This window comes from Homo sapiens, chromosome 16 (genome assembly GCF_000001405.40).
Source record: "Homo sapiens chromosome 16, GRCh38.p14 Primary Assembly".
Taxonomy (NCBI): Eukaryota; Metazoa; Chordata; class Mammalia; order Primates; family Hominidae; genus Homo; species Homo sapiens.
In genome coordinates this window covers 85,976,075-85,999,883 of record NC_000016.10, presented here as the reverse complement: position 1 = coordinate 85,999,883, position 23,809 = coordinate 85,976,075, and the positions used below count along the sequence as shown (strand labels likewise).

General features: G+C 51.2%; 1 long non-coding RNA gene across 1 annotated transcript, besides 8 other annotated features; it reads left to right on the top strand.

Annotated features, from left to right (window-relative positions):
- Nucleotides 564-763: an enhancer, noted in NCBI's record as "active region_11314". NCBI's record gives its function as "activates an Ori minimal core promoter by ATAC-STARR-seq in GM12878 lymphoblastoid cells {active_cell/tissue: GM12878}" and the evidence as "EXISTENCE:reporter gene assay evidence [ECO:0000049][PMID:35858748]".
- Nucleotides 3,858-4,047: an enhancer, noted in NCBI's record as "active region_11313". NCBI's record gives its function as "activates an Ori minimal core promoter by ATAC-STARR-seq in GM12878 lymphoblastoid cells {active_cell/tissue: GM12878}" and the evidence as "EXISTENCE:reporter gene assay evidence [ECO:0000049][PMID:35858748]".
- Nucleotides 8,557-8,676: an enhancer, noted in NCBI's record as "active region_11312". NCBI's record gives its function as "activates an Ori minimal core promoter by ATAC-STARR-seq in GM12878 lymphoblastoid cells {active_cell/tissue: GM12878}" and the evidence as "EXISTENCE:reporter gene assay evidence [ECO:0000049][PMID:35858748]".
- Nucleotides 8,687-8,746: an enhancer, noted in NCBI's record as "active region_11311". NCBI's record gives its function as "activates an Ori minimal core promoter by ATAC-STARR-seq in GM12878 lymphoblastoid cells {active_cell/tissue: GM12878}" and the evidence as "EXISTENCE:reporter gene assay evidence [ECO:0000049][PMID:35858748]".
- Nucleotides 10,667-10,926: an enhancer, noted in NCBI's record as "active region_11310". NCBI's record gives its function as "activates an Ori minimal core promoter by ATAC-STARR-seq in GM12878 lymphoblastoid cells {active_cell/tissue: GM12878}" and the evidence as "EXISTENCE:reporter gene assay evidence [ECO:0000049][PMID:35858748]".
- Nucleotides 10,937-10,996: an enhancer, noted in NCBI's record as "active region_11309". NCBI's record gives its function as "activates an Ori minimal core promoter by ATAC-STARR-seq in GM12878 lymphoblastoid cells {active_cell/tissue: GM12878}" and the evidence as "EXISTENCE:reporter gene assay evidence [ECO:0000049][PMID:35858748]".
- Nucleotides 12,687-12,806: an enhancer, noted in NCBI's record as "active region_11308". NCBI's record gives its function as "activates an Ori minimal core promoter by ATAC-STARR-seq in GM12878 lymphoblastoid cells {active_cell/tissue: GM12878}" and the evidence as "EXISTENCE:reporter gene assay evidence [ECO:0000049][PMID:35858748]".
- On the top strand, nucleotides 14,587-22,468 carry LOC124903741 (uncharacterized). Its single transcript, XR_007065161.1, has 2 exons — nucleotides 14,587-15,095; nucleotides 15,285-22,468. It is a non-coding gene; the product is annotated as an uncharacterized LOC124903741 (long non-coding RNA).
- Nucleotides 20,033-20,092: an enhancer, noted in NCBI's record as "active region_11307". NCBI's record gives its function as "activates an Ori minimal core promoter by ATAC-STARR-seq in GM12878 lymphoblastoid cells {active_cell/tissue: GM12878}" and the evidence as "EXISTENCE:reporter gene assay evidence [ECO:0000049][PMID:35858748]".
- Nucleotides 22,469-23,809: the final 1,341 nt, after the last annotated feature.

Sequence of the window (23,809 nt, the reverse complement as noted above, 5' to 3'; positions counted from 1 at the left end):
AACATCAGCTGCACACAAGGAATACTTCACAAAGAAGGTAGTACTCAGGCAGGCCCTTAGAGAGTTGCTAGAATTCAAACATACCGAGAAAGGGACAGGAATGGAGGAAAAGTCCAAGTATCAGAAAGTGTAAAGTGATTTGGGGCAGGCTATAGAGAAAAACCCCATCTGTTGGAAAACAGGTTGGTAAATACATGGTACCTGTGCCACACTCTCCCCACCCTCACCAGCAGCAGACATTGCTAATCAATTGCAGCACGCTTTCACAGTGATCCCAGGGACAGCCTCATGATCCCCATCAACATCAGACTGCTTCACCACAGAACGCTGCAGATGCACAAGCTCCAACCAGGTGCACAGATGGCCCATGAGATACTCACTCAGGGCTGGAGCATGAAGTCAGTCCCGGGGAAAGACAGAAGTAGGGCAAGGTAATAGCAGGCACTGAATGTACTGCTAATGACTCACACCTCATCCTGACAGCACTGCTAAGGACTCAAACCTCATCCTGACAGCACTGCTAAGGACTCAAACCTCATCCTGACAGCAGTGAGGGGCTTGAGCAGAGGGCCCAATCATTTTCAAAGCTTTGTTTTGAAGATCATGAGGAGTTGTGAGGGCTGCTTTGGAGTTTACAGAAGATAGATCCAGGAAGAGACAAGGGTCTGAACAGAGATGCTGAAAGTGAAAGAAAAGATTGAAAGCAAGAAATAGAATGGAAATGACACAGGAATTTGTAACATCCAGTCAGGTTGAGAGAGAAGGAGAAGTTGGCAATGACTTTAAAGATGGGAGCCTCAGTGACCCGCGGAAGATTTGGCCCTGCTAACACAAGCAGAGAAGATAAGAGGAGGAAAAAGGAGGGGAAATGAGGACTTCGGTCCGGGGATTTTTAAGTCTGTGTGGTTGGCATTTCCTGCAGGTGGAAATGTCCCACAGGAGGTAGGAACGGCAGGTACTCAAAGGAGCCATCAAGCTGGAAAGAGCCCATCAGAGGAGGTGGGCCAGGCCAAGGAGCTCCCGGACAGATATAAAGAAAGAAAGAGATGAAGACAGAGTTCCTTAGGGGAGAAAGAGGAGGAGGCTTCAGACCCAGGATGAGGGAAAGTGGGAGGAGGGGGTGGCCCAAGAAAATAAGAATGTGCCTGAAGTCTGCAGCCTGAAACACTGCACCAGGAACACCCGGGAGCTTTTAAAAGCTCAGGGGCCTGGGCTCACCCTGCAGGTCCCAGCTCACAAGGCTGGGGTGTGTTCCTGACACCCTTTGCTCTCAGGCTCCCCACTCCCAAAGGCCGCTCAGGAAAGGGGGTCCCCTTCTCAGCTACAGAGCTCACTAGAGCCTGCACTGTCCCAGGCTGCCCCTGCCCCTGAGGGCTCTGGAGACAAAGCTACCTCCAGAAGGGCCTGAAATACTAAGGCTGATGTGGAGAGGATGGAGAGGGCGACTCCCAGGCTGGACAGGAGAAGCAGAGCTAGGCATTGAGCCAGAAGGTGGAGGGGGCGGAACTCTGAAGTCGCTCTGTCTAAGACAGTGGCAACTAGTCACGCATGGCCATGATAACTGAATTTTAATTAATTAAAATTAAATTACACTTACAATCCAGTTCCTCACTCACACCAGCCACCTTTCATGTGCGCAAGAGCCCTGTGTACGGGTGGCTGCATATTGGACAGCACAGACCTGGAGTGTTTCCATCACTGCAGAATTTTCTATCTGCCAGGGGTGGCAGAGGGAGGAGGGAAGCAGATGCGCAGGGCCATGGCGAGGCCCCGAAGAAGCAAAGCATCTCTCACCAGCCAAAGGAGAGGCAGATTTTTCTTTAGTTTCCTGCCATCACTGCTGATCACAGGCTTTTTGCTTTGAAGTGAGAAGGCATATTTGACTAAATGTTTAGAAGGTAAGGGCCGTAGAGAAGAGAGAAATAATAAACCTCCTGGAAGGACCCCTGGCTGGGCTCCCTCTTCTCCAAAACCATTATCCAGATTCTCCCAACATCCCTGTGAGGTCAGCTCACATTGCATTTTGCAAACGAGGACCTGGAGACTGCATAGAATAGGGTGGTAATGCACTCCAGGTTTGGGTTCAAATCCAGCCCTGGCCATGCCCTCTCCAAGCTGGGGGTCCTCTGGAAAGCCCTGTGACCTCTCCGAGCATGGGTTTCTTCAACTGTAACAACAGAGCCAGCCTAATAGGATGGTTGGAAGGACAGAATGAGGCAGTGAGGATAAACCACAACATGACTGGTATCCATTGTGTCACAGTCAGCTCTCTGAAAAAGCAAGCCATGGTTTATGGCGTATGCCAATTCCCATGGCGTAAATACTCACAGCTTGGCAGATTTCATGCCACCACCATGCCTGCCCTGAACGTGGAGTTGGGAAGAGGTGCAGATAGTGGCCCCCTCGGGCCTGTAGGAACAGCCCCGTCTACCACACCCCTGCGTCTCAACTCTCGGGTAGGAGTAGCCCATCTACCACACCGCTGCTTCTCAACGCTCCAGTCAAGGACGACACTGGCTTCTCCTCCTCCCTCACATCCTAGGCCTGCTAATGATTTTCTGGTTGTCATCTGCCTGAAAGAGAGGCAGGTTTGGTTCCTTTGAGGACAATGTCATTTGGTTTCACAGACAGCTTTGCCATAAAATGGCATCTGCATCCCAGCGTTGACCCACCCAGCAGCAGCAGGGTGAAGTCTTCGAAGTGGAGGCTCGGTGGATGTTGTGGCTTCATGTGGGAGACCCGTGGTGGTTCCTGACTTGAAATGAGACTGGTGGGGCTCAGCCAGCTTCCCCCAGAGACACATCACATCTCCAAACCCAGCTCTGCCCTGGGCAGGGTGCCAGGCCCTTCCAGGGTAACTGCAGGAGGCCAGGGACTGCAGGCCCTGGGGGAAGCGGGAGCCCAGCCGCTCAGAGATCTCCAGCAGAGGAAGGAGGCCGCCTGGCAGGCAGCTCCAGGTGGAAGGAAGCCAATGCCCATACTATTCCGGGGCCATCGTGCCCTTCCCAGGTAGGAGTCAGTGGTAGAGTCACCTGCCGAAATACCATAGAGGCAGAGTGGAGATTGGAAAGGACTTCCCCCCTCCCTCCCTCTCCTACCTCCATCCTCTCTCCTTCCTCTTTCCCTCCATCCCTCCTTCCTTCCTCTCTTACTGTGTCTTTCTCCCTTCCTTCCAACATTTACTGAAAACATCATCTGCTAGACATTCATGGCAGTGGAAAAAGACAGGTATCTCTGTTCTCCTGGGCAGGAGAGCCACTGTGGGGGACACCAGTACCCTTTTATTGCATTTTCAAATCAAGATATAATCTATCTACCATAAAATTTGCCATTTTAAAGTCACAATTTAGCAGTTATTAACATTGTCACAATGGTGTTGAGCTATCACAGACTCCTTCTGTTTCCGGGATTTGCCACTCCTGATTTTACAACCTTGGCAAATGATGTCACTTCTCAGTGCCTCAGTTTCCCCATACATAAAATGGAGATAGCCACCCCTACTACGCTGGTTATCATAGCGCTAACTCGAGGATTCACTGACAGGCGTGTAGTAGCATTCCCAAGCGGCAGCTGTGGTCCTTACTTAAGTGATTAGTCTTGGGCCCCATGTGGGCTTAGGGAACTGAACATCCCAGAAACCACCTTCCAGAAACTTACAGCCTCATAGAGGAACTCACTATTAATTGCAAGAGAGAGAGAAAGTAGAAAGAACAGCTTCCCGGGGAGTTGTTCTCACAGAGACAGTGGGTGTTTGGACGTGAGCATTCTGATGGAGCCGCCGCTGCGACACCTGACTCCAGAGCCACGTGCTAGCATGCCACCCTGGCCTTTCCCCCACCCTCTGTGTTTCCAAATTCTAAAGAAAGGTGTTTATGAGACCGAGGGAGGGAGTGGGCATGTCGCCTACTAGGCAGGAAATTGAAAACAGCTGCTACGGTTTCCATTTCGTGGGGCAAGAACTTTCATTTTTCATTCCAAATCCCGGCCCTTCCCCTTTCGCCTCTGAAGAAGTGACAGTGGGGTGGTATTCGTTCCTCCGGGACTCCGACATGAGCCACTGCTGGGGGCTGGGGGCCGCAGGCTGACCCCCAGAACTCACTCAGCATCTCCAAACCTCAGTGCCAGAGACCGATGCTCCAACGCCCAGCCTAGTGCTAGGGTCTAGTACCAACTGGCTCCAACTGTCTGGCCCCTACCACAGACTTTCTGCTCCAGACTCACTGGCTGGACGTGGTCTCACATCGTCTTTTTCTGTCTCTGTACCTACGCACTCATCTAGCACCCAGCGGGTCCCCTTAAATGTCTGTGGAGTAAAATAAATAGACCAGGAACCCATAGCTTCCATTTGTGAAATCCCGCACGGAATAAAACCCAAACGTGGCTGTACCTGCATGTGTTCTCAATAAGCCACCAGTAGAAACCACATGATAAGAACTTAGTCCCCCAAGACAAACTGGAACTGACTCTCCAGTCTTCTTAAAACGAATGGCCCCGAGCAAAACTACAACGGCAGAATATCCTCTCAGCCTGAGCCAGTATTTCAGTTTGACTCTTGGCTTTATTAGAATGGATGCAACGTCTCCAACCAAAACCAGATGTACTTCCTGCTTCCTCTAGAGCAGGCTTCTGACTCAGGTCCAGTGGAGATGGGATCACCATGTTCCAGGACTCCAGGTAAGTCCAGCTTCAGATCCTGGAAGATGTGGGAGGCTGTTTGAGTACAGGGGATGGGACAGGCCCCAGGACGTGTCTTTCCATGAATGAGAAGCGAGACCCCTCTTAGCAGCTGGCACCTCGATCTCCGCTTGTACCTCTTGTACCTGGTTCCGCTGTGCGCACACACATCTGCTGGGTCTCGGCTTCTCACCTGACAGGATCCACTGAGCACCAAACTCCCCTTCTGGGAGGGAAGTCCAGCCCTGCTGAAGGCCTCTTGCACAGAATCACAGAGCGTAAGAAAGCACCCTCTGATTTAGATCTTTGATTCCCCAGGCATTTACAGCAATGACAAAGGACATTTTGTGACAAACAATGGCATTTTCATTCTGCGACCTCAATTCAAAAGGTCAGAAATGTGCCCTGAACATTCCCTGGAGAGTTTGTTACGGGTCAGTCATCCTTGAAATTAGGCTGCTGGACCCAGACAGACCTGGCTGCAGACCAGTCCTGCCTCTGCCTCCTGTGTGATCGTGGGGCACAGGACCTCGGACAAGTGTGTCTCTCCACGTTCAATGTCTTCACATGTCAACAGATGGTCATTGTTTTTTTTTTTTGTTTTTTTGTTTTTTGTTTTTTTTTTTTTTTTGAGATGCACTTTTGCTCTCGTTGCCTGGGCTGGAGTGCAATGGCGTGATCTTGGCTCACTGCAACCTCCACTTCCTGGGTTCAAGCGATTCTCCTACCTCAGCCTCCTGAGCAGCTGGGATTACAGGCGTGCACCACCACACCCGGCTAATTTTTTTGTATTTTTAGTAGAGACGGGGTTTCTCCATGTTGGTCATGCTGGTCTCGAACTCCTGACCTCAGGTGATCCGCCAGTCTTGGCCTCCCAAAGTGCTGGGATTACAGGTGTGAGCCACCATGCCCAGCTAACTCATTGTTATTTCAACTCTGACTGGTCATGAGGATAACATGGGGGTTCATTCCAGTTCTCAGCCCAGGGGCTGGCACACGGGAAGCAGGCCGTCAGCGCAGGCTGTTATTACAATCCCAAAGGGCCATGTTGAGACAGTGGGCAGCAGATGTTAGGAACGTGGCCTTTGAAACCAGCAGTGCTGGGGCAAAGCGTGGTTCTTCCATTTGCTAACTGTGTAGGAAGCAGGCGGGTGCACCTCCCAAGCTGGCCCTTACTTTCCTCCTCTGTAAAATGGGGATAATAACAACCCCCAACACACAGGAGTTGGTGCTTTCCTATTGGAAGCAGACAATGCGCTTCACATTTTCATGCAATGCCTGGTGCCGGAACTTCGTTCTTCACCCATCCGCGCTACCCATCACAGAACCCACTCCAAACAGTGACTCCCATGTGTGTGTCCTCAAGCTTTAAGGAGTAACCAGGTCTCCCCGACCACATTCTGAAAGTGCATTCGTCTTTCTTTTATGAGCTGCCCTGCTGCTGGGAGGCCTTGAAGCCAGCTTCTTGTGAAAGAGCGGCTACAGATAAATGGTTAAACGCTTGCAAGCAATCATCAAAGGCCCAGAACCATTCAAGAAATGGGGCCGGAGGCGGTGGCTCACGCCTGTAATCCTAGCACTTTGGGAGGCCAAGGTAGGCGGCTCACCTGAAGTCAGGAGTTCAAGACCGGCCTGGCCAACACAGTGAAAGTTCATCTCTACTAAGAATACAAAAATTACCTGGGTGTGGTGGCCTGCCTGTAATCCCAGCTACTTGGGAAGCTGATGCGGGAGAATCGCTTGAACCTGGGAGGCAGAGGTTGCAGTGAGCTGAGATCATGCCACTGCACTCCAGCCTGGGCGACAGAGTGAGACTCTGTCTCAAAAAAATAAAATAAAAATAAGAAATGAGCCACCATCCAGCTGTTGATGAGAAAGTGAAGATCCCGGAAACTTGGGCTAAGGAGAGCTACCACATCTGCACACAAACCTTATTTCTGAGCTTCCTGACAGACAGCAAAAAGGGAACATGACAAGCTCTCGGCTAATAAAAAAGAGGGATCATCATTGAACAGAGACTCATTTATTCCTCAGACCTAACTCTGGGAGACGTCTCTCTGGGACTTTCATATGAGTGACACATTTGAGAGTAGATTGGCCAAAGGAAGGGAGGAAAGAAGGACAAAAGGACATAAGAGAGGAAGGACAGAAGGGAGGAAGGACAGAAGGACAGAAAGGAGGAAGGACAGAAGGGAAGAAGGACAGAAAGACAGAAGGGAAGAAGGACAGAAGGACAGAAGGGAGGAAGGACAGAAGAAGGACAGAAAGGAAGAAGGACAGAAGGGAGGAAGGACAGAAGGGAGGAAGTCAGTGCCACATAGGCAGCATGACTGTTTAATTTTGCATCCAGACCAGGGCATTTTTGAGTGTGAAATTAGTAATTATAGCAAAACATCAGACAGAAACGAGGACTGCCCCATGCACATGAGGGCTATGGTCACCAATAGAGCTGGCCATTTCTTTTCTCATTCCTTGATGACCGCCAAGGGCCAAGCCTTTTAAGTGACTGGTCCGTAAAAACCACAATGGCAAAGTGCACATGCCTCGCATTTCAGCAATTTAACCAAAGGGTGGTAACTAACACTCGTGTGATGTCCTGTGTATGACACTTCCTAAGGTTCACGCCTACTCATCACAGAAAGGCAGCAGCTTGGAAGAGTGGACAGACCTCTGGCTTTGTAGCCAAAGACACCCCGTTTCCATGAGACGCTGCACGTCCCCTCCTGTCACACTCCCCGGCACTAGCAGGTGTTCAAGAGCCCATGGCTCCCATGACTGTCACTGCTTCTGTTGCTATTCCTTTGGGGGATAACATTTTGCCGTTAAGAAAACTGAGGCTCAGAGAGATTCAGAGATCTGCCCGAGGACATGCCATTGGCAATGGAGCCCCAAATCCCTCTGTACCATTAAGCTTAGAAAATCTAGAGCAGGTGGAAAAGCTCAACAAGGTGTTGGGGGAGTGAATTTTAAATCCCGGGGGATATTGACCATGTCTGGGGACATTTTTTGTTGTCATGCTAACTGGGGTGGGGTACGACTGGCATCTAGTGGGTGGAGGCCAGGGGTACTGCTAAACACCCCCACAGTGCCCTGGATGGCACCCCCCTAGCTGAGAATGCTCCAGCCCCACATGTCAGGAGAGCCACGGTGGTGGATAGGCCGTGTTCCAACACTAAAGCAAATTCAAGACTGTGACATCAGACACAATAGCGGGACAGACACACCCCAGTGGGATTTGTCAGGATAAATGCAAAGGACCCTTTAATATGTAGAATAGCCAGGAAAGGAAAAGAGGACCCTTAGGTCTCTGGAGCTTGATTTGCCCAGGATGTCTTGAGCAGGAACCATGAATTCTGTGAAATCAATATTCCCTCCTTCGAGTCCTCTCTCTGCCATTGAGGTTTCTTAAATGTCTGAGGCCAAAAATCACCTGCTAGCAGCTCCCTCCTTAGGATCCTTTCTAAAACCCTGCAGCCTCCTGGGGAAGGTTCATCGTAGTCACTCTCTCCCTGATGTGAACTCAGAAGGCGATGGAGTGGGTTTGTAGGAAAAACCCCAGGGGTTCTGAGCACAGGTGTGAGCCAGCCAGCTGCCTCTCAGTCAGCACGGAGCCTCCCGAAGACCGCAGACACGGACAGCTCTGCTCCCATCGAGGGACTGCCCAACTCAGGACATCTCACTCAGCCTGTTCAAACCTTAGAAGGGGCCAGAAAAAGAAAAAAAAAAAAAAACAGACTCTGGAATCAGAGAGGCATGTGTTCCAATCCCAGCTCAGCTGCCTCCTAGCCACAGCCATGCAAACTCAGGCCACGCACTCGGCCTCTCAGGCCTCAGTTTTCTCTGCCGGAGACAGGAGATAAGAATAGAGCTTCATTAAAGAGGTGATTAAAAAGGTGATGAAAGAGGATTAAAGAGGTGACACAATAGAGTACTCAGCGCGCTGCAGGTCCCCAACAAATGGCGCTCATGACGATCACTATGCGGCTCCACGTCCACCGGCCTGGCTGCTAATCACCCTTGGGTCAGGCACATTAGCCAGCAGGGTTCTTCCACTTCCCCAGCCTGAACTGGCTTGAGTTGGAGCAGGGGGTCCAGTTGGGCTTGTTCCATTGGTGTTAACCTCTAACCCCCAGTTCTGTCACCCGCACCTGCATGGCAAGGTCTGTCTCCCAGACGCCACATCACTGTGGTGTAGTGAAAACAGCCGATAACCACTCAGCCAATGCACCATACCCGCCATGGTCTACTAGGTCTGCAGTGATAGCAACAAACAGCTTTTCTGTTTCTCACACATGAGCCGCAGGGTTATGCAGGAACTGGCCTTCCAGATGGTTTCTCTCCACTCAGTGAATACTCAGATACCCACTCACAAGCTCTCTCCTTCCTCCCAATTCCATCTGTCATCCAAGGTGAACCCCAGACCTATCAGATGACCTATTATCTTCTTTTTCTTAAGTTGGAGCTCATCATGTTCCTTTTTGCTGTGGCTGCTAGGAAGCTCAGAGCTGAATTTTGTGCTCCCTGTCTTAATTTCTTCATCTCACTGACCTTCGTCTCCATTCTGTTCCAATAACCCACAAGTCTTTTCTCTATCTCCAGAATACCTCACTCAGACACCCTCAGACTTCAGAACCCAATTTCTTCTTCTTGTACCTAGGCTCGAATGTGGGCACAATATCAGTTCACCAGCCTCTCGGAGGCCACCAGTCCGCGGGTCCTTTATTTCTCTCCCATCCACCCTTCAAGCTTCACCCCCTCCCATATTCAGCCGAGGCTCCGTGATCTATAACATCAGTCACAACCTTGACACTGCTCCCCAGCATTTTGAGGGGCTGGAGATTGTCCTCTTCACACAGGCCATTGCATGGGCTCTGGTTAACCCAAGTGTGTTTTCTAGTTTAAACATTGTCTCTGGGAAAAAAGCACATGAGCCTCCCCACTCCTTCCCTTGGAAAAACAAGATCAGAAATAATACTTTCTCTTTTAAGCATGGTAGGCGGTTTCTGATAGTACAGTGTGAGCCAGCAAGACTAAGAACTAAAGGGAAGAGTTTCAGAGAGATTCATTGTTTTTTCCTTCTCATCTTTCACGTCGGTTTTGCCACCAAGAAAAAGAAGAATCCCCCTGCTGTGGCTAAATGCGACTGTTTACTTTGCTTACAGACGTTGTAAATTTTTTATGTGCCGCGGTTGTTTTAAGAGCTTTTAAAGCATTTTGGATGATTATATAAGTCACAAAACAGCTACAGTAAAAATGAATTTATTTTTTAACGGTGTCATGGAATGTAAAGGATGCATCAGTGGGCTCACCAAACATTCCTTCAGTGTGCAGCAACCTCGAAGCCCAGACAGCCTCTGTTTGCCATCACGGTGCCCACGGTGGGATGTTTTTATGAAGCAGTTAGCATGCTCTTAATGGGTATATGTTTTTGTTTTTCTGAAAACCCAAACACAATGTGATGCTTTCTTGTTCAACCTTTTCTGCAGATGGGACATAAAATATGAGAGAGAAAGAGAGAAGGGGCAAGGCGAAGATGGGCACAACACCTTGCACAGGCGCTGGGGCATGGGGGTGTCAAGAGTGTGCTGGGCAGGGAGGGATCCCTGCACCCCAACATCCTTGCACTGCCACACACTCAGATGACCTCCTGGACTCCCGCATGGCCATCAGGGAATGGGAGCAGGCAGCAGGGGGAGACCCTCGGGCCCCATCCCCAGCACCTCAGGGCTGAGGGACCCTGGACTAAGCTCCAAGCCAAGATAGCAGCCTCCAAGCTCTCAATGGCAGGAATTTTAAGCATCATTTTATCCAACCCGTCCCCTTAGAAATGGGGAAACCAAGGCTCAGAGGGCCCAGTAGTTGTGAATTCCCCATCCAAGGGTATACATTGACATTCCAGGACTCCGAGGCTCCCACATCCAACAGACCTTCCTTCCAACACTCTTCATAAGTATGCAAGGGGGGATCCTCTTCTCTGAAGCCTCCCCCTCACCACTCCCAGCTGCCCCGTGAGGGTTTCCATTCTGCCCAGATCAGACCCCCCGAGCCACCGTTTCATTTCTCTCTGCAGCGCCTCACTCACTGTGTAAAATTAGCTCAGCCATGAGTTTCAGGAACAAATACCTGTCACCTCCTTCAGTGTCGAGAAAAAGAAACTAGAGGGGACTTTCCTCCTTTCCTGCCAGCCAAGTCTAGGCCCCCAGCAATGCAGGCGCTCAGGAGAGAGCTGGAGGAGGGGCCCAGGATGCCTGGCACAGAAGGAAGCTTCCTGGACCCTCCCCACCCTGGACAACTGTCCTCCCACACTGAATGTGTGTCCTGTGGTTCTCAGGTGTCCTTGCACTGTCCGTGGTTGCTTTAGAAACATGCGTTTCTGAACGTCGTATTGAAGTATGACACAGGTTCAGAAAAACGCATGCATCCTAAGTGCACGGCTCAGTGAATTTCACCCACTAAGCACCAGTAACAGCACTGGGTAGAGAAATAGAATGGCTTTACCCGCCCCCAACAGGAACCCTCCTCATGCCCCCTGGAAGTCAGTACCCAGACCCCCAAGGAGAGCCCCTCTCCTAACTTCTAACAATGTAGATCCGTTTTGACTGGTTTGGAAATCTGGATAAATGGCATCAGGATGTGTGGACTCTTGTATCTGGCTTCTCTTACTAAGTATCAAGTGTGGGAAATCATCTCTGTTTTTACATGTGGATCTAATCATTCACATTCACTGCTGCATTCTCTATTCTAGAAACACATCACACTTTGTCTGGTTAAATGACATGAAATTGCCGTTTTGTAGGTTACAGAAAACAATTAAAGGGGGAGGCTTAAGAGAAGGCGAGCTCCCTTGCGCACCTATGAAGAGTGTTGGAAGGAAGGTCTGTTGGACGTGGGAACCTTGGAGTCCCGGTCCCTCAGACTGGAGTATACCCTCAGACTGGGGATTCACAATTACTTGGTCTGCTTGGACTCTGTCATGTTTTTTGTAACCATCCACATGATCCATGCATTTTACTTCTGGTAAATACAGGTGTTGGTATCATATTGTCCTCCCATTCTGGCCCTTTTTTACTGTTTTAAATTGGTGTTTTGTTTTTAAAATTCATCCTTGCCGCTGCATAACCAGGGTATGCCCACCATACAACTCAGCCCTCACTGAGGGGCATCGGATGGTTCCCACACTCCCCAGCACACATAACACCATCATCCACGTCCCCAGTGGACCCCAGGTGAGAATTTTGGGGTGTATGTATCCAGGAGTGCAATGATGGGCTCATATTCTCGGGAGGCCACCTTTTTTAATTCATCCACCCCACTGATACCCTGCAGCTTATCCAGCAGCCCAACAGGCAGTGCATGGACTTAGTGACAATCAAAGGTCCTAGAGGTCCCAGAGGAGGATGGGGAGGAGCAGGGAAGAAGCCGGGGTGAGGAGAGCCGGGGGGTGGTGGGGGGGGGGGAGGGTCGACGATAAGCCAGCAGGGGGCGCTGCTGCCCATGGGATCCTCATGGCCAAGGGTCCCAGGAGGTGGTGGAGGCCATCTGAGGGCTGCTGCTCCAGCTGTCCCTGTCTTCTCAGTGACCCCAAACACCCACTGGATGTGGCATGAGCCCCTGGGGTGGGACTTTGGAGGCGCTGGGGCATGGGGGTGTCAAGAGTGTGCTGGACAGGGAGGGATCCCTGCACCCCAACATCCTTGCACTGCCACACACTCGGATGACCTCCTGGACTCCCACATGGCCATCAGGGAATGGGAGCAGGAAGCAGGTGGAGACCCTCGGGCCCCATCCCCAGCATCTCAGGGCTGAGGGACCCCTGGACTAAGCTCCAAGCCAAGAGAGCAGCCTCCAAGCTCTTTGCTACAACATCCCCTGTCTTTATGGCCCTACCCTGCTTTGCACCCCAACTTGAAATGCAGGGATAAGAAAGAAAGTGAAAGAGAAAGTAGAACAGATATCTGCAACAGAGGCCATAGCAGCTGCTCCCAGGGGACAGGTGTCCCTTATCCGACACGATGAGCTGATCTCCTCTGCTCCTTGGACCTGGAGGACAGCCCTGGGCATGGAGATCAGAATACATTCTTTCCTCTGCTTTTCCTCCTATGATGATTGAGTCCCATTCATTCATTTGTGCATTCATGTGTTTGATCGACAGATGCCGGGCCGCTGCTGTGTGCTGGGCAGTGTTTCTCAGCTGGGAGGGACCGAGTGCTAACAAGACCAGAGCTTCACACACTAGGGCAGGGCTGCCCCAACTCACAGAGAGTGTCAGTGTTGGACTTACGGAGGCATCCACGCACACAGTCACTCAACACTGGAGGAAGGTGTCCACCTGTGAATGCTGACCTTCTGTTTGTGTGTGCATCTGTGTTCTGGCATTTCTTTATTTAAAAAAAACAAACCAGCAGAATCTATGAAACTGGAAGTGGCCTATGTGTCTTTTGTCTTCTGACAGCCTCCAGGCAAGTCGTGGAAGCTGCTCCAGGGAACAACTACATGTAAAAACATGGATGATTTCCCAAACTTGATATTTAGTAAGAGAAGCCACATATAAGAGTCCACACAGCAATGCCATTTACCCAGGTTTCCAAACCAGGCAAAACTGATCTACATTGTTAGAAGTTAGGATAGGGGTTCCCCATGGGGGTCTAGGTGGTGATCTGAAGGGACAGGATGGGGGTTTCTGGGAAGCTAATGCCATTCCAGTTCTCCATCTGCTTCTCCCATGCTCTGTTCTTAAAGCAATAGTTTTTTATTAAATGAATGCTTGGGGGCCGGGCACAGTGGCTCACACCTGTAATTCCAGCACTTTGGGAGGCGAGGCGGGTAGATCACTTGAGGTGAGGAGTTCAAGACCATCCTGGCCAACATGGTGAAAACCCCATCTCTACTAAAAACACAAAAATTAGCTGGGCATGGTGGTGCACACCTATAATCCCAGCTACTCGGGAGGCTGAGGCAAGAGAATCACTTGAACCCTGGAAGCAGAGGCTACAGTGAGCTGAGATCGCACCACTGCACTCCAGCCTGGGTGACAGAGTGAGACTGTCTCAAAAAAAAAAAAAAATGCTTGGGGTGTGGTTAGACTCCCAGTAACAACTACCATGTGTATGACTTCACATTTATCAACCCCCGGCGATCCCCCATTTCACAGATGGGGAAGGTAGGGGGCACAGAGGTTAAGAAACTCTTGCAAGTTGCCTAGAAAATTGCAGAAAGAAGGGTCCCTCTGGGCCATCAGAGTCCAGAACATGCAACCTGCTGGAGGTGCAAGACCAGGGCTGCCCCTCCACACCGACCACCTCGTGGTTGGTGTCACTACGTATCCGAAGGGTAGAAGGTTCTAGAAAATGAAGACTTTCCTCCAGCAGGCTCCCAGAGGGCATCTGCAAAGGCAATAACCTGAGATTTTTATGGCCCTCCAAACTGGGAGCAGGACAGTGTTTCCAAGAAACACAAGAGTTTTATGACAGCTTCCTATCTCGTGATAAATGTTTGACTTTCCTTTTCATTTTCTTTTTGTTTGGGGATTTTTTTTTTTAATTTCCCCACACTGTTGGGTTTTTTTTTTTTTCCCCCTCCAACGTTTTGTTTGTCTCTTGTTTTCCAGGTTTTCCAAATTAAGCCCATGTTACATTTGGAATTAGAAGAAATGTTACTTTATGTAGCAGATCAATGAATGCTGACTTTAACCTGCAGGTCAAGGAAAAAACAAATTATTGGAGTAATTCATGAGAACAGTCAATATCATTTAGTTGTCTAATTTTCTCAGGGTATTTCCTGGGCGGACACGGTGTCAAAAAAAATGTTTCGAAAACATCCCTCCATTGCAGGGTGAAAACGTGACTAAGTCTGACCATGCTTGGAGCTCGGAGCCTCTGCGTTCATATTACGGGTAAGGAAACCAAGACTCCCAGTGGCTAAGAGCTGTTCCCAAGGCCACGTGCTGTGGCTCCCACTCATCAGGACCAGGACTGCAGGGCTGCCGCGAAAGACAGAGAGAACGCGGTGAGGGCAGCCTGGCTGGTCTCCCCCTGACAGTGAGGCCCCGTCTCCCCAGGCGTGTACTCAAGAGCTTGTTGAGAAGTGCCTATGCTGCCTTCAGCCAGCGGCCCCAGGGTTACTGAGCAACGGCCCCGAAAGCAAAACACTTCTTTGAAGGAACTAAAATTTTGTCTGGGCTCCGTCAGTCATCTTGCTGCCAAGGGAAGCACAGACAGCTCTGGATGAGGGGTCAGGAGACGCCCTTTCTCCAGCCATCACGAAACGGACTTCCTCTCTCCAGGCCTGTTTCCTATGCGTTAAAATGAAAATGTCAATCAAGATAATAGTAACAATAATTCCTGTTTATTAAGGACTGGTCTGCCAGGTACAGATGCTTGGTCTGTGCCACCTACTTTCATCCTTACAAGGGCTCTTTACAGGTAGGTAAACCCAGGCAGGGCATGGCTAAGTCACCTGCTAGGGTCCCACGGCAATTACAGGCAGAGGCAAGATTTGAATGCGAGCCTCTGACTGTAGGACCCCGGACTCAGCCTTCATGCCCTCTGCGTTTCCAAGGTTCCAACAGCTTGCTGGCTTCGGCATTCAGTTCTACTCTTTTACTTCTACAGACAAAAAGAAATGCGCTCAAGGACGTTCCCAAGGTGAATTGGGACATTGGTGTGGCACCACTGGCCCTCACCAGTGCAGAATGCAAAGATGTTTGGGAGAAGAGTCTGTGCTACACAGGAAACGCTTGATGTGCACTGGCTTCCTCCTCACGGAGAGGGTAAGTGAAGAGAAGAATGAGGGCTCCATTGAAACCACAAGTCGGATCCATCCTCGGGCGATTTCCTCATCTGCAAAATGGGGTGATGGGGCTGACTGTAGACATCCCTTCCTGGCCAAGGCAGGACTCAGCACACCTTCGCCCTGCCTTTGATCAGGTGACAATCCCAGCCACATGGTTCCAGGCACAGGGCTAAGAATGCCGCATGAGGGATTCCTTAATCCTCACAACTGTCCAAGAGGCAGAGGCTCTTGTCCCTGTGTCTCTAAGCCAAGGCATGGGGAGGCTCCTGAGACAGAGGCTCTTGTCCCTGTGTCCCTAAACCAAGGCACGGGGAGGCTCCTGTGGCTGGAGAGTGGCTGGGAGGGTGCTAGAAGGTGAGCCCGCAGCTGGGATCCAGGACCCGGGCTCGGGGCCACCAGTGGCAGACACCTCAAAGCTGGGCACCTCCATTTCCACCTGGTCTACCAGGGACTGGGCAGCATGCGCCTTCCACCCCATCATGCCTGTGACCACCCCGGACAGCCCCAGAATGAATGGCAGGAGGGTCCAGGGAAGGCGAGGACACAGAGCGGACACCCCGCTGAGGGAGGACCAGGTCCCCCGCCTGCAGCAGTGCCCCCGACGCAGCTCTGCTCTGCAGATGAGGAAGCGCAGCAGGGGCTGCGGAGGAGCCAACCGTCAGCTGCAGAGCCAGACACCAGGAAGGAAAAGAGAGCTGGCCCCGCTGCCCTTCCGGTGGGCTGAGAGGCCTGACCAGCGCAGAGAAGGGGCTGAGAGGCAGCAGCTCCTGTGAATCTGGAGCTTGCTCTTGGCGCCCCATGCTCTCGCCCAGTTCTGATGCCTCCTGGAGTTGAGGGCCTAAGAGAGACAGCCAGACCTCAGCTGTGTCTCAGACAAGGACAGACATCTTAGACGTCTGAGACGGAGGATGAATGTCTCAGTCCCACCTGAACGATTCTTAGCTGGGGGCCTTAGAGCCTCCCCACCCTCGGCTTGCCATCCCTCATCTCCCCACACTAAGACCCCCGAAGACCTCCTTGCAGAACAGCCAAAGGCTTTAGAAGCCCCAAGCGACCTGGCGGTAGAGGCAAGAGCCCCCACCTTCCAGGTCAATGGTTGGTGTTGGGGAATGCGGGCCCCCTGGCCCTGGGTTGGCTCTGGGGTGTCCGTCCTCGACGACGCCGTGGAGTGGAGCATTAGGGGCACCACCCTGCAGGCTGGCTTCCTCCAGCTTCACCCATCACTGTGTGGCCTCAGGCAAACAACTCGACCTCTCTGAATTCATCTCAGACTCTGTACGATAGGGCCAAAAGTAGTTCTTATCTCATAGTGTCTTGGGTTACAGCTATGGTCTGCTTAGCACAGGGCTGGGCCTAGAGCAAGCGCTCCACACTTATTCCCTTATGCTCTGGCCCTCCCGGACCACAGCCAGCCCAGGATCTGTGCTGGGTTCACAGGAGGGCTCTGCTACCTGTCCTTGGAGAAGAGGCCACAGGGGACTGCAGGAGCCGACAGCAGGCCCACCCACTGACACGAGAGGCCACACTCACACACGCATGGCCACACATAGACACACATGGCCACATGCACACGCGGCCACACCAGCAGCTGCCTCTCGTCTCCGTGTAAGTGGAGCAGGCAGGGCGGGGTGGGCGGCGGGCATGACACCGGGCGCAGCCCTATTGCTCAACGCCTGGACCGCGCCAGGTCTCAACGGTCAGAGACGCGGCTGCTGGAGCCCAGGAGCCTCGCAATCCAGCCTCTGTGGGCCACGGGCTTTGAATATTTTTAGAGAAGTCGGGTTTCTGCCAAGTTCCTCTCCTTCAGATTCTTCCTGTTGCTGGTGGTTCCCACCCCACCGGGGTCCTCCGCCCCTGGTGCTCACAGGTCCATCTAGGCTCCTGGGGGACTTGGCAGAATCAGAGAAAGTGCAGCTGCCGAGTCATCCTCCCACCCCAGCCGCTCCCCCCAACCACAATTCACCCCGGGACCCCGTGTCCCTCAAACTCAGGCCAGGCACTGCGGGAGGCCTTATGTTTTCTCTCCACCCTCTGTCCCCCGCTTCTCATTGTCTTTGCCCCCCATCCCTTTTTATGTGAAAGATCCAGGCCTGACCAGCTGGGCGCCTAGGAACATTCATTTCAGCCCTTTGTAAGTGCACGCCTTGGTCGTCAGGCGTGAAGAGGCAGCGGGTCGGGCTGACTACATTCCAAGCCCACTGGGGCAGCTTTTCCTGTGTTTCAGTGGGTTTGTTCAGGCATGGGCAAAAGTTATTCTTCCCAGATCCTACTAGATCATAGCTCAGAAGTCAGCAGCACACTAGTGCAGCAACATGGACCCTCCACCACCTTCTCCAGCCCAAGTCACAGCCCAGAAATACCCCTGTAGTGGGATAAGCAGCCAAGGGGTGGGTGCCGTGGGTTTGGAGTCTGCCTGTGCTGTGCTCAGACACAGCTGGAGCCTCAGGGAAGTCCTGGGCTGCGCACGGCACCACAGTGAGTCCATCACTGCTCCAGGAGGGGCATAGGTCTATGAAGGAGATTTAAAGTTGAAAGTCACTGCCTTACCTTTTTTTTTTTTTTTTTTTTTTTGGAGACAGGGTCTCGCTCTGTCACCCAAGCTGGAGTGCACTGGTGCAATCGTAGCTCACCGCAGCCTCCAACTCCTGGGCTCAAGGGATTCTTCCATATCAGCCTCCCAAGTAGCTGAGAGTATAGGTGCACACCACTATGCCTGGCTAGTTTCATTTTCTTGTAAATGTAGCCTTGTATAGTGAGACGAGATCTCACTGTATTGCCCAGGCTGGCCTTGAACTCCTGAGCTCAAGTGATCTTCCTGCTTCCGCCTCCCAAAGTGCTGGGATTACAGGCATGAGCCACCGCACCCAGCCATTCTCCGTTTTTTAAGACTGCATTCAGCTCCTATGGCTGCCATAACATATGACCACAAGTTTAGCAGCTTGGAACAGCAGGCGTTGATTCTCTGACTGTTCTGGAGGTCAGGAATCTGACACAGGTCTCACTGGGCTAAAGTCAGTGTGTCACAGGGCTGTGCTCCTCCTGGACGCTCCAGGGAAGAATCTCTTTTCTTGCCCTTCCCAGCTTCTAAAGGCCGCCATATTTCTTGGCCTCTTCCTCTACCTTCAAAGCCAGCATCTTCCAGTGTCTCTCTGACTCTACTTCCCTCATCGCAAGCTCCATCTCTAACTCTGACGCGCTGCCTCCCTCCCTCTTACAAAGACCCTTGTGATGGTCCACCTATATAATCCAGAGCAATCTCCTCCTCGCAAGATCCTTAATTTAATCACACCTGCAAAGTCCCTTTTTCACGTCAGGTAACACATTCACAGTCCTGGAGTGGGGACGTCTTTGCAGGGCAGGATGAACAGAATTATTCTGCCAGTCACACAAACCTCAGGCAACTTAGCTATCTTCTCTGAGCATCTCTTCCCCCAGCTGTGAAATGGGAATGATGATGATCATGGTGGTGATGATGGTGATGAGGCGGATGGTGGTGACAGTCATGATGGTGGTGATGGTGACGGTGGTGGTGGTGATGATGAAGGCGATTATGGTGACAACAATGATGATGATGATGATGGTACTTTTCCCTGTGGGGCTGCTGGGAGGATTCAACCGGTTCATATTTAGAGTTCATACAGCTACACTGAGCACACAGTAAATGCTACGTATGTATGTTTGTCAAATATAAGAATTATTTTGCTACAGGCAAGTTTCTGCCTGTGGGTTTAGCACTTTCCCTGCTGGGTAACTGACTTGCTCTGTAACACGACAATCCTTTGCAAGTCTTCCATGGGAACCAGGATTTCTATCACATCATTAAAACAGCTCAGCATCCCCTGAAGATCTGGGAAATTTGTATATAGGTGATACACACAACGTGAGGCTCCCAACCCTGGTGTGCAAAAGGTCGTAATAGGGAGTGAACGGAGCAAGCCAGCCCATCTCTCAGCACCGTATCTCCCAACACACGGGCCTCCTGGTTCCCTCTCAAGCCAGCCCACCTCTCAGCACCGCGCCTCCCGACACACGGGCCTCCTAGTTCCCTCTCAAGCCAGCCCATCTCTCAGCACCATGCCTCCCGACACACTGGCCTCTGGTTGCCTCGCACACACCAGGCATCTTCCCTCCCAGGGCCTTTGCACTGGCTGTTCCACGTTCCTGAACAGCTCTTCCCCAACCTCCAACCCCACTCCTCCCTTCCTCCCATCCTCTAGGCTGCAGCCTAAATGGACCCTCAGGTGGGTCCTCAGAGAACCCCCCCGGGCATCTGTCTGAAGCGGGCACCCCATTGCGTCCCCAATGCCACCCTATATTTTCCTTTCAGGCTGTAATTCCATATTCAGCTGTTTGGTCATCCATGTCCCCCTCCAGAGATACATGGCTCATATCTGCCCAGTACCCAGAACCGTGCCCGGCAGCTGCAGAATTCTCAATGCAACTTTTGGTGAATGAGTATTGAAACCAAGACATCCAGCCTACTCATTGGCAAACACTTACTCAGCCCCACCCGTGGACCATATGCCCTGCTGGGAACTGCACACATCAAAATGAAAAACACACACAGAGAGAGAGAAAGAGATAAGTGGATCTTTAGGACACAACGCAGTGAGTGCCAGACAAGCCCTTCTCAGATGGGTGTGCACGTTGTTAAGTGAGCAGGACTGGAGCCACCCAGCGGCGGCCACCAGTCACCTGCAGCTAGGCAATGCGCATTTAAATCGATTACAATCCCATCCTGTTAAGGATCAGGCACTCGGGTGTCATGGCGGCTGGTGGCTCCATTTGGACAGTGCGGGCATGGGTCACTTCCCGTTCATCACAGAAAGTTCCAGCAGACGGTGCTGCACAAGGGTCTCAACTGCACTGTCCCTTCAGGAAGCCATGTGTCGCTTACATTTAAGTTAAAATTAAAGTTCAGAATTCAGATTCTGTGTTGGACAAGCAGACAATAGAGTGTGTCTACCCATGCAGAAAGTTCTGGTCCACCACGCCGCTCCCCTGTTAAACTGCCTGGGTTGAAATCCTGGCTCTATGATTTCCCCACTGGGGCAAGTTCTTTCTCCTCTCTGTGCCTCGGGCTCCCCACTTCAAGTGAGGGGTGGATGGAACTCAACACACAGGCCCTGGCGTTCTTCAGGCCTTCCACACGTAGCAGCTGCGGTCGCTGTTGGCACACGGTCCGCTGCCAGCTCACCGGGTGAGTTAGGGAGGGCTGGGATTCCTACACCCATCTTAAAGATGCAGAAATGAAAGCCCAGAGAGGCTGCTCAGCCTGCCCAGGGCACACAGCCTGTGCGCAGCCAAGCACCTGGGCCTCCAGTCTGCTGCTCGCTCTGCTTCCCAGCCCTTCCTTGATCTTGGTGACCACACGGTGTGGCAGGACACCAAGTTAGCAGGTAACTGGTGGCGTTTCCATAGGCTCAAGAAGGAGCGTATGTTCTGAGCCCCGCATCACAGAGCCGGTGTGAAGGCACTGAGATTCCCTGAGCAACGTGGCCCTCACCGTCTTCCCCTGCCATGAACCCATCACTGAGATGAGGGATTTGTAGCTGCGTCTCCATTTTTCCAAGGGCAAGGAGAAAGGGAGGCTCAGGAGATCTCTCAGAGTGTCGCTGAGCAGGCATCTAGGCCGGGAAAGAGTGGGTGGTGCAGACGCAGGAGCAGGGGTGGGAACCAGTGGGAAGAGCCTGGACGTGCGGGGCGCCGGCTTGAGCGCGGCCCTGGTATTCCTCGCTAAGTAACAAATCATGACTGTGTCTATTTTTACTTAATCTTCATCATTCCCAGTGGTGAAAGAGCCGTGACAATTGAGGAAGTGGTGGGTGGACTTCTTTTTTCTTCTTAATCAAGTGCAAAGCTTTCCTTTAAGAATCCGGCATTTGAAAGAATGTACTGGAACCAAGGGGTCAGGCAGAGGCATCCGCTGCCCTGAGAACGAATCCTCAGCTCGTCCATCCTAACGCGAAGCGTCAGCGCCAGGCTGGCTCCTCGTGGGCCCCACATCGGGCACTCAGCACTGTGTGTTGTGACATCGCTGGTGGGCCGGGCACGCTGGCAGGGTTGGGTTGGTTTTTTACATCCCCCTTGGAAACTCTCACCCAGAGTCCTCTCAGAATGTGGCTGGGAGCATTCCCACAAACCGTTACAAAGTATTTTAGGCGACACATTTCTATAACTGCAATGCTCCTTAAAACAACTTTTTTTCAGTTTTGCCCTTTTGCAAAATAACTGTTTTTATACCGATGCAGAAGCTCGTTCTCTCAAAATTATTCTCGGTCAGAATTGCTCTTGCCTGTGGCACTAAAGAGAAAGCGGAGACAAAGGTTCAACTCTCCTGTTTTGAACCAGGGTGTCCTGCTGTGGAATTTTGGACATTTGCCCAAAGCGGCAAACACCCCTCCCTAGCGTCAGGACCTCAGGCCCAGTATTATGCAGAAAGATACTCAGGTGGGCATCTTCCCCATTTTCTCTCCTCTGATAAGAAAAAAAGTCACCATTTGAAAGCAACCTCAAAAACATGGCATCTTGCTGTCCCACAGGGCAGGAATCCCAGACACAAGGGCCCTTCCACAGAGATCACTTTCAGCTACACATCGTTGGGAAAAAACAGCCCCTGTGAAAGTAAACATTCCTCATGCCCAGATCTACATGTGGCAAGGGGCAGGGCATACATTTAGTAAAATCGTATTTTTGTCAAAACAAACAAGCCATGTTTGTCTGGGAAGGATGCTTAGAACACCATTGGCATAGGTTACTGCTGGCATGGAAATGAGAAGGGAGAAGCTTCCATTTTTTACTTCGTACATTTCTCTATTGTCTCAATGTTGTTGCAAAACTCATATATCCCTTGTGTGTGCTTCTTACGTTTGGATGCACGTCTCCTTGAAAAACAAGAAAGGGAAACTATTATTGAGCACCTACTACACGTAGGACACTAGATCAGATACTGAATGTCATACAAAAGTGAGAAGTGGTAATAAACGTGACCGCTACCTTTTAATTTAATTGGGCATTTACTCTGTGTCAAGCTGTTATAGCCATTCTGCATCTGATCAACTCTTTAAGGTGGCTACTTCTATTCGTTCCATTTTACGGATGAGGAATAAATGTGAGACCCAAAGTTAAGCCAGTCATCCAAGGTCATCAGCAGCCACGACAGGTGGTGGTTGGGGGGTTGGATTTGGGAGCCTCCAATCTAAACACTGCGATTTTTATCCTGAACAACCACCCGCTATTCCATGGCCAACATCACAAGGATGAGGTATGGCCAGAGATGGTCTTATGGAAGAGTACTGTTCACACAGCAACGTGCATGGAAGAGAGACAGGCAAGACGGATGGGAAGGGGGTCTGAGCTGAGGCAGCAGTTGGGGGTTCAGCAGGGGTGGACCATTGTGAGGCCATGGTGAACCAGGAGGGGTCTTTGCAAATGACTCAATGTTGCAGACAATGGAGGGAAGGAAACCCAGAAGGTGAAGGAGTTTTAAGCCCAGGAGGTACGTTCAGGTCAAGAAGTGATTTCGAATGTTTACCCAGAGGCATCACAGCTATGGTTTTGAGATTCCCAGGGCTTTTTTTAATGATACACCCCAATTTTTTAAAACCACTGTTGTTGGCCATCCCTTTACACTTCACCCTGTCCATACAGGAATATCAAAGAGGAAGAAGTTCCTTCAAAGCCCTCAATAAGTTGTGATAAGGCCTGTGAAAATGAAAACCAAAGATAGAGTCACCAGGATATTAAATCTCAAGCCAGGAAGCATTAGAAAGAATTTTTAAAGTACAGCACAACATCAAACTCATGAGGCAACCAGACTCAAAAGATGGCAGCACAGAAGCAATGTTCTCTCAGCTTTCAAAGACTGCGCATCAGGAGATTTGTCTATAGGAGCAGTTTTTTGTTTTTTTGTTTTTTTGAGACGGAGTCTCGCTCTGTTGCCCAGGCTGGAGTGCAGTGGCGCGATCTCGGCTCACTGCAAGCTCTGCCTCCCGGGTTCAAGTCTTTCTCCTGCCTCAGCCTCCCAAGTAGCTGGGACTACAGGTGCCCGCCACCACACCCAGCTAATTTTTCGTATTTTTAGTAGAGACGGGGTTTCACCATGTTAGCCAAGATGGTCTCGATCTCCTGACCTCGTGATCTGCCCACCTCAGCCTCCCAAAGTGCTGGGATTACAGGCATGAGCCACTGCGCCCGGCCGGGAGTAGGTTTTTCATACTTACAAATTTGGTTCATTTGGGAAGCAGCTGCTGTCTAGAACTTTGGTTTGAGGATATTTAATTCCAGATCATTGTTTTTTTTTTTGTGACTTTGTTTTCCAACTCGTTTAGCAACCCAGCTATTC